General features: G+C 40.5%; 2 protein-coding genes and 1 long non-coding RNA gene across 5 annotated transcripts in view; 2 read left to right on the top strand and 1 right to left on the bottom strand.

Moving 5' to 3' along the window:
* The window catches only part of TLCD4 (TLC domain containing 4), a 105,091-nt gene that overhangs the window by 68,808 nt on the left and 23,994 nt on the right, over positions 1 to 12,289 (top strand). The gene's annotated exons all lie outside the window — the stretch shown is intronic.
* Positions 1 to 12,289, top strand: part of TLCD4-RWDD3 (TLCD4-RWDD3 readthrough) — a 127,033-nt gene that overhangs the window by 43,402 nt on the left and 71,342 nt on the right.
* The window catches only part of RWDD3-DT (RWDD3 divergent transcript), a 70,764-nt gene continuing 60,369 nt past the window's right edge, over positions 1,895 to 12,289 (bottom strand). For both annotated transcript variants that reach the window (NR_125949.1, NR_125948.1), the window contains one exon: positions 1,895 to 3,874. This is a non-coding gene — a long non-coding RNA (RWDD3 divergent transcript). The remainder of the gene's footprint in view (positions 3,875 to 12,289) is intronic.

Genomic DNA, 12,289 nt, shown 5'->3' on the forward strand with positions numbered 1-12,289 from the left:
CATGTCTGTGGGATCAGTAGTGATATCCCCTTTATCATTTTTTATTGCATCTATTGGATTCTTCTCTCTTTTCTTCTTTATTAGTCTTGCTAGCAGTCTATCAATTTTGTTGATCTTTTCAAGAAACCAGCTCTTGGATTCATTGATTTTTTGAAGGGTTTTTGTGTCTCTATCTCCTTCAGTTCTGCTCTGATCTTAGTTATTTCTTGCCTTCTGCTAGCTTTTGAAGTGTTTGCTCTTGCTTTTCTAGTTCTTTTAATTGTGATGTTAGGGTGTCAATTTTAGATCTTTCCTGCTTTCTCTTGTGGGCATTTAGTGCAATAAATTTCCCTCTACACCCTGCTTTAAATGTGTCCCAGAGATTCTGGTATGTTGTGTCTGTGTTCTCATTGGTTTCAAAGAACATCTTTATTTCTGCCTTCATTTCGTTATGTACCCAGTAGTCATTCAGGAGCAGGTTGTTCAGTTTCCATGTAGTTGAGTGGTTTTGAGTGAGATTCTTAATCCTGAGTTCTAGTTTGATTGCACTGTGGTCTGAGAGACAGTTTGTTATAATTTCTGTTCTTTTACATTTGCTGAGGAGTGCTTTACTTCCAACTGTGTGGTCAATTTTGGAATAGTGCGATGTGGTGCTGAGAAGAATGTATATTCTGTTGATTTGGGGTGGAGAGTTCTGTAGATGTCTATTAGGTCTGCTTGATGCAGAGCTGAGTTCAATTCCTGGATATCCTGGTAACTTTCTGTCTCGTTGATCTGTCTAATGTTGACAGTGGGGTGTTAAAAGTCTCCCATTATTATTGTGTGGGAGTCTAAGTCTCTTTGTAGGTCTCTAAGGACTTGCTTTATGAATCTGGGTGCTCCTGTATTGGGTGCATATATATTTAGGATAGTTAGCTCTTCTTGTTGAATTGATTCCTTTACCATTATGTAATGGCCTTCTTTGTCTCTTTTGATCTTTATTGGTTTAAAGTCTATTTTATCAGAGACTAGGATTGCAACCCCTGCTTTTTTTTGCTTTCCATTTGCTCGGTAGATCTTCCTCCATTTCTTTATTTTGAGTGTATGTGTGTCTTTGCATGTGAGATGGGTTTCCTGAATACAGCACACTGATGGGACTTGACTCTTTATCCAATTTGCCAGTCTGTGTCTTTTAATTGGCTCATTTAGCACATGTGCATTTAAGGTTAATATTGTTATGTGTGAATTTGATCCTGCCATTATGATGTTAGCTGGTTATTTTGCCCGCTAATCAGTACAGTTTCTTCATAGCATCGATGGTCTTTACAATTTGGCATGTTTTTGCAGTGGTTAGTACTGGTTGTTCCTTTCCATGTTTAGTGCTTCCTTCAGGAGCTCTTGTAAGGCAGGCGTGGTGGTGACAGAATGTCTCAGCATTTGCTTGTCTGTAAAGGATTTTATTTCTCCTTCACTTATGAAGCTTAGTTTAGCTGGATATGAAATTCTGGATTGAAAGTTCTTTACTTTAAGAATGTTGAACATTGGCCCCCACTCTGTTCTGGCTTGTAGAGTTTCTGCCGAGAGATCCGCTGTTAGTCTGTTGGGCTTCCCTTTGTGGGTAACCCAACCTTTCTCTCTGGCTGCCCTTAACATTTTTTCCTTCATTTCAGCTTTGGTGAATCTGACAATTATGTGTCTTGGAGTTGCTCTTCTCGAGGAGTATCTTTGTGGTGTTCTCTGTATTTCCTGAATTTGAATGTTGGCCTGCCTTGCTAGGTTGGGGAAGTTCTCCTGGATAATACCCTGAAGAGTGTTTTCCAACTTGGTTCCATTCTCCCCATCACTTTCAGGTATACCAGTCAAACGTAGATTTGGTCTCTTCACATAGTCTCATATTTCTCAGAGGCTTCGTTCATTTCTTTTTACTCTTTTTTCTCTAAACTCTTCTCACTTCATTTCATTCATTTGATCTACAATCACTGATACCCTTTCTTCCACTTGATCAAATCGGCTACTGAAGCTTGTGCATGTGTCATATAGTTCTCGTGCCATGGTTTTCAGCTCCATTGGGTACCTGAGGTCTTCTGTATGCTGTTTATTGTAGTTAGCCATTCGTCTACTCTTTTTTGCATGTTTTTAGCTTTTTTGCGATGGGTTCGAACATCCTCCTTTAGCTCGGAGAAGTTTGTTATTACTGATCGTTTGAAGCCTTCTTCTCTCAACTTGTCAAAGTTGTTCTCTGTCCAGCTTTGTTCTGCTGCTGGCGAGGAGCTGCGTTACTTTGGAGGAGAATAGGTGCTCTGATTTTTAGAATTTTCAGCTTTTCTGCTCTAGTTTCTCCCCATCTTTATGGTTTTATCTACCTTTGGTCTTTGATGATGGTGACATACAGATGGGGTTTTGGTGTGGATGTCCTTTCTGTTTGTTAGTTTTCCTTCTAACAGGACCTTCAGCTACAGGTCTGTTGGAGTTTGCTGTAGGTCCACTCCAGACCTTGTTTGCCTGAGTATCACCAGTGGAGGCTGCAGAACAGCAAATATTGCAGAATGGCCAATGTTGCTGCCTGATCCTTCCTCTGGAAGCTTTGTCTCAGAGGGGCACCCAGCCATATGAGGTGTCAGTCGGCCCCTACTGGGAGGTGCCTACCAGTTAGGCTACTCAGGGGTCAGGGGTCCACTTGAGGAGGTAGTCTGTCTGTTCTCAGATCTCAAACTGTGCTGGGAGAACCACTACTGTCTTCAAAGCTGTCAGACAGGGATGTTTAATTCTGCAGAAGTTTCTGCTGCCTTTTGTTCAGCTATGCCCTGCCCCCAGAGGTGGAGTCTACAGAGGCAGGCAGGCCTCCTTGAGCTGTGGTGGGCTCCACCCAGTTCGAGCTTCCAGGCCGCTTTGTTTACCTACTCAAGCCTTAGCAATGGCGGATGCCCCTCCCCCAGCCTCACTGCCGCCTTGCAGTTTGATCTCAGACTGCTGTGCTAGCAATGAGCGAGGCTCCGTGGGCATGGGACCCTCTGAGCCAGGCGCGGGATATAATCTCCTGGTGTGCTGTTTGTTAAGGCTGTTGGAAAAGCGCAATATTAGGGTGGGAGTGTCCCGATTTTCCAGGTACCATCTGCCACAGCTTCCCTTGGCTAGTAAAGGGAATTCCTGACCCCTTGTGCTTCCCAGGTGAGGCGATGCCTCGCCCTGCTTCGGCTCACACTCTGTGGGCTGCACCCAGTGTCTGACAAGCCCCAGTGAGATGAATGCGGTACCTCAGTTGGAAATGCAGAAGTCACCCGTCTTCTGTGTCGCTCATACTGGGAGCTGTAGACTGGAGCTGGTCCTATTCGGCCATCTTGGAACCCCCGCCACCTCTTGATACTTTTAAAAATGAAGATATTAGTGCCCCAATTTTTTCTTCTACTTCTCTAACTCCTACTTTGCTTCTCAGTTTTTATCACTTGTACTTTTGTATTGCTGAGAATTAAAAATATCTACTTTGTATTCTGTAATCATAGTTTTTCTTTGTAGTCAGTTGATCTACACATAGAAAATCAGTAAAATATTTATTATGATTGTATTAAAATAGTTGATTGCAGGACCCAGATTACATTTTCTGTGTAATTTTTTTGGAGTTTCTAATTGCCTTCCTTTTTTCCCCCCATCATTTGCCTTTACTACATATTTGAGTAGCTTCATATCCTCAAGGATACTACTCCATCTCTGCAACCGTCTTTTCCCAGCTCCCACATACCTGCTCCAGGAGTTTGCTGTTCTGCTGCAGTCTGAACAGATTGCTGTCTGTGCTGCTGCCCAGTGGCCTGGGGCTCCCTGTCATTCCAATCTTGGGCTGAAGTCACTGTTTCCTCAATCCCATGTCTTTGACTTTCTTGTTTATTCACTCATTTTGCTGCAGCATATCCTCAAATGATACCTAAGAAAGCGAAGGAGGTAAACTGAGTCTGTTGAAAGTTCTGAAGATGTTTTTATTCTCAGACTATCTGGTGGTATCATTATCTCTACTGGTGGCATATGGATATGTAATAACATTTAACCAATGACTATTGTTATGTGTTTCAGTGTCATAGGTAACTTTGAGTGAATATCCATATATCTTCTCATTTGTGCACATGAATAATTATTTTCAAAGAATAATTTTGTTGAGTGGAATTCTTGGGCAAATAGTATGTGTGTGTGTGTGTGTTTTTTTTTTTTTTTCAGACAAAGTCTCGCTCTTGTCCCCCAGGGTGGAGTGCAATGGCGTGATCTTGGCTCACTGCAACCTCCACTTCCCGGGTTCAAGCGATTCCCCTGCCTCAGCCTCCCAAGTAGTTGGGATTACCGGCACCTGCCACCATGCCCGGCTAATTTTTGTATTTTTTAGTAGAGACGGGGTTTCAACATGTTGGCAGGCTGGTCTCAAAGTCCTGACCTCAGGTGATCCACCCGCCTCGGCCTCCCAGAGTGCTGGGATTACAGGCATGAGCCACTGCGCCTGGCCTAGTATATGTATGTTTTAAGGATATTGATTCATTCTGCCAAAATTCTCTTCAGAGAACCATTGTGTAACTGGTTCTTTTCATCAAGAGGCTGCTTGGTTTCTGTTGTTTGTTTTATTTTTGTTTTGTGAAGACTGCAGTTAACAGGGATCAGGAACTCTGAAAAGGGTTGGCTAGAAGAGTCTTTACCTGAGCAATGTGGAAATGATACTGGGAAAGAAAATAAACATATACTGTCTGTAAATATCAGAAGGTTTATATGAAAAAGAGATTGGATTCAATTAAGTTTTTTGGGTTGTGAGGATCAGAAGTAGGACAGGCAGGTGGAAATCTGAGAGAGCAGTATAGTTTTGGAACTTTTGAATAGCAGTCCCAGGTTGCAGTGAGCTGCTTACACTTCTCACTATGGGGTAGTCCACCCTAAGCTGAGGGCAAACTGGAAGAGCTTTTGTGGGTGGGATTTAAAAATCTATGGGTAATAGAAAGTAGGTAATTTTCAGAGGCCATTTCAACCATGCCACACTGTGGTATGATGAACATAAAGTCATCATGAACACAGTTAAGTTTAGGTTGGATGAAATATATTATAGTTGTGCAAAGTGAGATGAAAAGCTGACAAAAACCATAGGATCAATAAAACAGTTTAGTTTACCCTTAGAAGTATTAATTTTCCTTTTCATCCTGGATGCTTTTCTGCAACAAGTAGAAAGTAACAACTACTTTTGGAGGGTGATTTGTTCACGTAAGGTTATCTTTTATAGTAAAATAGCAGTGTTCATTAGTAGTGCATCCAGTCCTTCCTGACTGTAATGATCTGTCTAATCATCCATTCCTCCCCATCATCCAGGCCTGAACCTTAGACCTGTGTGGTCACCCTTGCATCAGTAACTAGGTGTGAATGATTGCACCTAGGCAGGAAGGAATAGGCCGTTTTAGGCCTTGTCTTTATAATAAGAAAATTTACCTTGTTCAGTTGTTTTTTTAGAGACAAAGTCTCACTCTGTCACCCACGCTGGAGTACAGTGGTGCAGTCATAGCTTGCTATGGCCTTAACTCCTGAGCTCAAGTGATCCTCCTGCCTCAGCCTCCTGAGTAGCTGGGACTATAGGCACACGCCACCATGCCTGGCTAATTAAAAAAAAAATTTTTTTTGTAGACGTGGGGTCTTACTATGTTGACCAGGCTGGCCCAGAATTCCTGATCTCAAGCGATCCTCCTGCCTCAACCTCCTAAAGTGTTGGGATTATATGCATGAGCCACTGTACCTAGTTCTTTTTCCTCTTTTGAGTGCCTTCTCTTTTGAGTGCCGCATACTGATGGCCATCAGTATTTTTCCTGATGGCCCTCAGTATGCGTCTCATTTTATTCTCATGTCAGTCTTGCTATAAAGATGGCATTGTGCCCATTTTACAAAAGGAGAAACCGAAATTTAGATTAGCTTTGCCCCAAGTTGCCACCAGAGCTAGGATTCAAATCCTGCCCTCCATACCACAGGCGTATTGTCATTAACTGTCTCCGCCTCCCAAAACTTAATTGCTTTTAACTATCCCTGCCTCCCAAAATGTAATTGCTTAATTATAATAATAATTTGCTCAAATAGAGGAAGTTTTAAAAAGTTTGCCAATAAATATTTCTGGAAATTCTGTCAGCATTGGGATATAGTGGTGGTATCTGTTGGGAAATGCTGAGTGTTGGGAGAGAAGCTGAGGCAGGGCTTGCATGTCTGACATAATGTAAGAGAGTCTTGGAACATGTGCGGGGTCCAGGGTCTAAAACCCCTTGTGGCCTTTGGAACACCAAGCTCTGTGCCAAAGGGTGGAAGGCTACCCTGACGCACGGTAATCTAAGCCCAGGGCATAAAACCGCTCGTGGCTTGGATAGAATCCAAGGCTCCTGGCTCTGGAATGTGTCTAGACTTGCTGGCTCCTTGCTCCTTGCTCTCCCAGGATCGATTGTATCTTGAGTTAAAAGAACCTGCTCTCCATTATCTCAAGTAGCAGAGCATATGCTAAACCATCACAGCTGTAAATCATGTGCTTAATGTAACGCTCCCTTTCGACCCCCACATTCTCACCACCTGTTTCTTTGTTTGATCACCAATAAATAGTCTGGGCTTCCAGAGCTCAGGGTCTTTGCAGCCTCCATACTTAGTGTTGGCCCCCTGGACCCACTTTCTCTCGTAAACTGTCTTTTTTCATTCCTTTGACTCCGCCAGACTTCGTCACCCCCACGACCTGGTGTTGGGACCATCACCCCAACAGTATCAAATGGCATTCTTAGACACTTCCATCTATCGTTAATTTTAACTCTCTCGTTTTATGTTTTATAAAGTGATGAGGACAATGATGGTAGTAATGGCAGCCATATAGTCCTAACAACAGCCCTGTTTAAAAGTATTAACCATTCATTATAGATTTCTTGGAATAGGATCAGAGGAGTTCAGTAATAGGCACAAGGTTACACAGCTAGTAAGGTCAGAGCTATAACCCTGGTTTGTCTTTCTTTTAGACTACATCCTATTGCTCCTTAGTTTGCAAGTGTGCTCACTGTCTGCTTCTAGATGTTTTACTTCTGTTACAATGGTCCCACATTCCCCTGCCTCTTCTACTTGCTTACCCACTTTTACCAGCCTTGCTTCACTAACTCTAAATGTATCAGTGTTTGGAGATTCAGACATTTTTATTTTCTCATAACAAATTTGATAACTTCTAATTCTGTTCCACTGATATCTTTATGAGATTAAAATCTGGATGGCTTTCTCCTTTTCTTTTGGAATGAAATGTGAGTGAGCTTTTTTTTTTTTTTTTTTTTTTTTTTTTTAAGAGACGGGGTCTCACTAATGTTGCCTTGGCTGGGCTCAAATGATCCTCCTGCCTCTGCTGGCATTATAGGCATGAACCACCACCTCCAGCCAAAGGCTAATATTCTGATAATCCTCTCTCCCACTCAGAAATAGGCCTGAAGGACTCTTGGGATTTTGACTTTAGAGGTGATGTGCTTGTTTAACAGCACTGAGAAGGCAAGGTTCAACTCAGGAAACATGGGCCAGGCACTGTGTAAGGCTTTATGGATATAACAGTGAATAAGGAACAGGAAATGTAGATATTTGCAAGGAGCTAAGTACTCTCACAGATAAGCAGAGAGATCTGCGGAGCCAATTGACTGGGGGTTCTCCCAGCTAAGAGTTAAGGGGTCAGGAAAAACTTTTCTAGAGGAATGTAGCAGGTCCACCTTAAGAGCTGTGCAGTCTGGGGTGGGTGTTTGTAAACCTTTGCTCAGCGCAGTTTCTGAGAAGTAGGGAGCTAGCTCCTTGGGGCTTATAGATCGCTGGCTATTTCTAGACTAGGAAAGCACTTCTCTCACTTTAACGTACCTTGGACTCACCTGGAGGGCCTGCAAAACACAGCTGCTGTTCCCACCCCTCATGGTTTCCCATTCAGTATGTCTTGGATGGGGCCCTGGAATATGCATATCTAGCAAGTTCCCAGGTCATGCTGATGCTGCTTATCTGGGAACTACACGAGAACCATTGGGCTAGAAGTACTAGAACTAACCATTCTCTTTGGGAAGAGGAGAGAGGAATTAGAAGAGCCAAGATGTTATGCCCAACTTTTTTCAAATTCAAGAGACAATTTCCTCAAAGCATGGAAAATTTGCATTTTGGCCAAAGTTGTTTAGATGAACATAACATCAAATTTACCATTTTTACACTGACTCTTTTAATACTTAATGAAAATCATGAAGTCAGGTTTTATCTGATATTAATTTGGTACTTTGGTTAATACTTTTAATTCTTTACCAGTATGAAAGGAGTTGGAAAAAGTAATCTTTTAAATTCTCAAAAAAGGTCTTAAATATAGTATACTTCATGATTTTTTTTTTATTTTTAAAGTTAATATTAACTAGAGAGAAATTTTTAGAATTTTTTTAAAGAAACGGTTTTGCTGTGTCACCTAGGCTGGTATGCAGTAGTGTGATCACAGCTCACAGCCACACCCTCAAACTTCTGGGTTCACATGATCTTCCTGCCTTAGCCTTCTGAGTAGCTGAGTCAGACTACAGGTGTGCACCATTGCGCCCAGCCTAAAATGGTTTTTAAAATTTAATTAAGGCTTAGGCTGTTGCTGCTATAGTATTTTGATATTTTACATGACTTTGAGGAGTCTGCTTTAAAATACTTTATAAGTTGTATAAAAATAAATTTTGGTATTTGATCTTATCTTTGGAAAAACTATTTATTTGAAGGATACAGTAAGAAATTTAGCAAGAATTTTGGCTGACCTTAGGAACACATTAACTCGTAACATTTTGCAGCAGTCTGGTCTGTCATCTTCTCTAAACATTGAATGTAGTTACATAGAATGCCATAGACTTAGAACAACTAAAGAGAATTGTTAGGAAAAATAGATCAGAAGAAAAATCACCTTTGACAGGAGAAAGTCAGTGTTATGAATGAGAGAAATTATCCTTAAGGAATAAAAAGTTCACCTATAATTTTTTTAATGCTTCATGTTTATTACATACATGAATCTGTCTTAGTGAGGGGTTATAATAATACAAATCATTCTTTTTTTTTTTTTTTTTTGAGAAGAGTCTCGCTCTGTCCCCCAGGCTGGAGTGCAGTGGCGTGATTTCGGCTCACTGCAAGCTCCGCCTCCCAGGTTCACGCCATTCTCCTGCCTCAGTCTCCCGAGTAGCTGGGACTATAGGCACCCGCCACCACGCCTGGCTAATTTTTTGTATTTTTAGTAGAGACAGGGTTTCACTGTATTAGCCAGGATGGTCTCGATCTCCTGACCTTGTGATCCGTCCACTTTGGCCTCCCAAAGTATTGGGATTACAGGTGTGAGCCACTGCGCCCAGCCATAATGCAAATCTTTCTAAGATGTTTATGTCTGGTGTCTGGCTCAAGTAGGAATCTCATTAAAATAACTTTTTCCTTTCATTTTTTTGTCCCCTCAAGAGTCATATTTTAGTTGTATACTGTTTCCAAAGTTGTCCTTTTCCCTAATTTGCTACAGAATTTAACTATAGAGATAGCAAAAAAACAGAACATTTCTCTTATTTTACTTTACTTGTTATTTTAACTTCTTCTTAAATATTCCAAGCAAGTCTTTTGAGAAAACTCACCTAAACTTTGAACAAGCCACCAAATTTTTTCATTAAAAAAAGCACACAAAATACCTAAGGAGTTTGAAATGCAAATGGCAATTTGTTCCTTATTATCTTTAAAGTGGTTCTTTATGCTGAATAAATTAGAGGGCTCAGACATTTGTGCTTTTCTCATCCCCCCCCTTTTTTTTAGCCGCAAATGTGATTTCGAATATGTATTAAAATGAATTATTTATTTGTTATTTTAAATTTTTGTATAGAGATGGGGTTTTGCTATGTTTGCCCAAGCTGGTCTCGAACCTCTAGGCTCAAGTGATCCTCTTGCCTTGGCCTCCCAGTGTGCTGGGATTACTTTTGTGAGCCACCATGCCCAGCCTAAATGCATTTATAATAAAACAAAGATGAGAGTGGCCTGTTCAGAGCTATCCTAGTCGTACCATTTTACCACTGAAAATCCTGCAGCCCGGGAAACCCCTTCCTCTGATACCAAAAAAAATCACGGCAGCTATGATTTGCAGTTCACAATAATGGATCATCCACTGATGCAACTTAAGTGTGTTGTAATTGTGAGCAGTAACAGTCTATCATTGACATTGCCCGTTGGATTAACTGTTTTGATTTGTATTGACATAGTGTTAGTTTAACCTACCACACTGTGAATACTGTGACTGTATTTTCTGAGAGTTCAGATAATGAAAATGAGAACAGTTATGATATCAACACCAGAGTGTCCCAGACATCACTGAGAAGGAAAGTTATTATTGTATATGGAAATCTATGTTATTTTATATATATTAGTATATAATGATATGTTATAGACAGAGGGAAAGACACATAAAATTTAATTAGGGAGATAAAACAGAACATATTGCACAATAGGCAGGAAAGAATTTGGGATTGGGCATTGTTACAGTTTGAATTGTGTCCCCTCCAAAATTCATAGGTTGAAGTCATAACTCCCAGTACCTTAGAATGTAACCTCAGTTGGAAATAGGGTCATTGTAGATGTAGTTAGTTAAGATGAGTTTGTATTAAAATATGGTGGGCCCCTAATCCACTATGACTGGTCTCCTTGTGAAAAGGGGAAATTTGGACAGACATGCACACAGGGATAATGCCACGTGGAGACTGGAGTTAGGCTGCCACAAGCCAAGGAACTGCAGGAAGCTGGCAGAGAGTCCTAGAACAGATTCTTCCCTAGTTGCCTGCAGAGAGCTCATGACCCTGTTAAACCCTTGATCTTGGACTTCTAGCTTCCGTAACTGTGAGACAATACATTTCTGTTGCTTAAACCACCCACTTTTTGGTACTTTGTTATGACAGCGCTAACAAACTAATACAGGCTTGGTGAAGGAGATGTGTAAGCACCTAAGGAGACTGTGTCTCTCAAGTCTGGGATAAGACAGGCAAGCACATCTAAATTAATCTGCACTTCTTCCATCTTGTTTAAATAAAAGCATTTAGTATAACAGAAAACTAGTATAGAATAATAATTTCAAATAAATACCTATTCTTCATATTTGTGTGTTAAAGTAATAAAACCTGTGCATAATTCTTTCTCCTCCATTGTTATGTCTCTGGACTGGTATGGCTGTGCCCTAGTTGACTCTCTGAAAAGTTGGTCACCCCCTGTGCATTCAATGCTCCTCTTGCCTGCTGTTGCTGTGTCTTTGGCCATCCCTCCTTCCTTCTTCCTCATCACAAATTCCAGTATTGCTAAGGATAATGAATTTGTGATTATAAAAAGTTTTAGATTAACCTTGTTAAAGGTAGTTCTTATAATCTAGCTTAGAATTTTGAATCCCTAAAATAATTTTCACGAATAAATACTAAAAATCATCAAATAAAAAGTCCACCTATTATTTTTTTAATGCTTCATATTGTTCTCATTTGGAAGGCAGCATGGTATAGCCAGTAGAAAAATAGTTTCCAAACTTTTGTTTACATCTAATGTATTGGGGTAGGGAGGACTGTTTTCTTTGGCATGTAATCATAATTCTGATTTAATTGGAAGTGCTGGAGTGACTCCATTTACTTAGTAGCAATTTTTAAAGTATATTAAGTAAAATTTTTAGAATGTATACTTTTGGTTTTCCTTCCAATGTTTACTAACTCTACTAAACTTTTCATATTATTTAATTGGTAGAATGTACTAGGTATTATGTTTAAATTTAGAAAGGTCTCAAAGATCCTAAATTTAGCTCCAGGATCTTCTGATTCACAAATATATTTTTCAGAACAAACATGGTGGCATGTGTTGTCATACTGGGCAAATATACCTGTACTCACAGGCTTATGTATTGTTATTGAGGATAAGTGCTTTTTTGAGATTTTTAAGGTGCTTCCAGTTAGTAATGGATATAAAGTGAGTTACTATCAGGTGTTAAATTGTTATAAAACTCCTCATCTTCTGAAATTCACAGTACTTTGTGATCATTCTTTTTTTTTTTTTGAGACGGAGTCTCGCTCTGTCGCCCAGGCTGGAGTGCAGTGGTGCGACCTCGGCTCACTGCAAGCTCCGCCTCCCGGGTTCACGCCATTCTCCTGCCTCAGCCTCCCGAGTAGCTGGGACTACAGGCGCGTGCCACGTGATCATTCTTTTCTACAGTAATTTGAAAATGCCATTACTAATGGTTATTTAGAGTTCATTTGTTTAACGTGACACAACTGCTTGAAGCCTATTTTCATTAAGTGGACACTGTATACATAAGTGAACATAAGTGTATAATTTACTGTTT

Source organism: Homo sapiens, chromosome 1, assembly GCF_000001405.40.
Source record: "Homo sapiens chromosome 1, GRCh38.p14 Primary Assembly".
In the NCBI taxonomy this organism is placed as follows: Eukaryota; Metazoa; Chordata; class Mammalia; order Primates; family Hominidae; genus Homo; species Homo sapiens.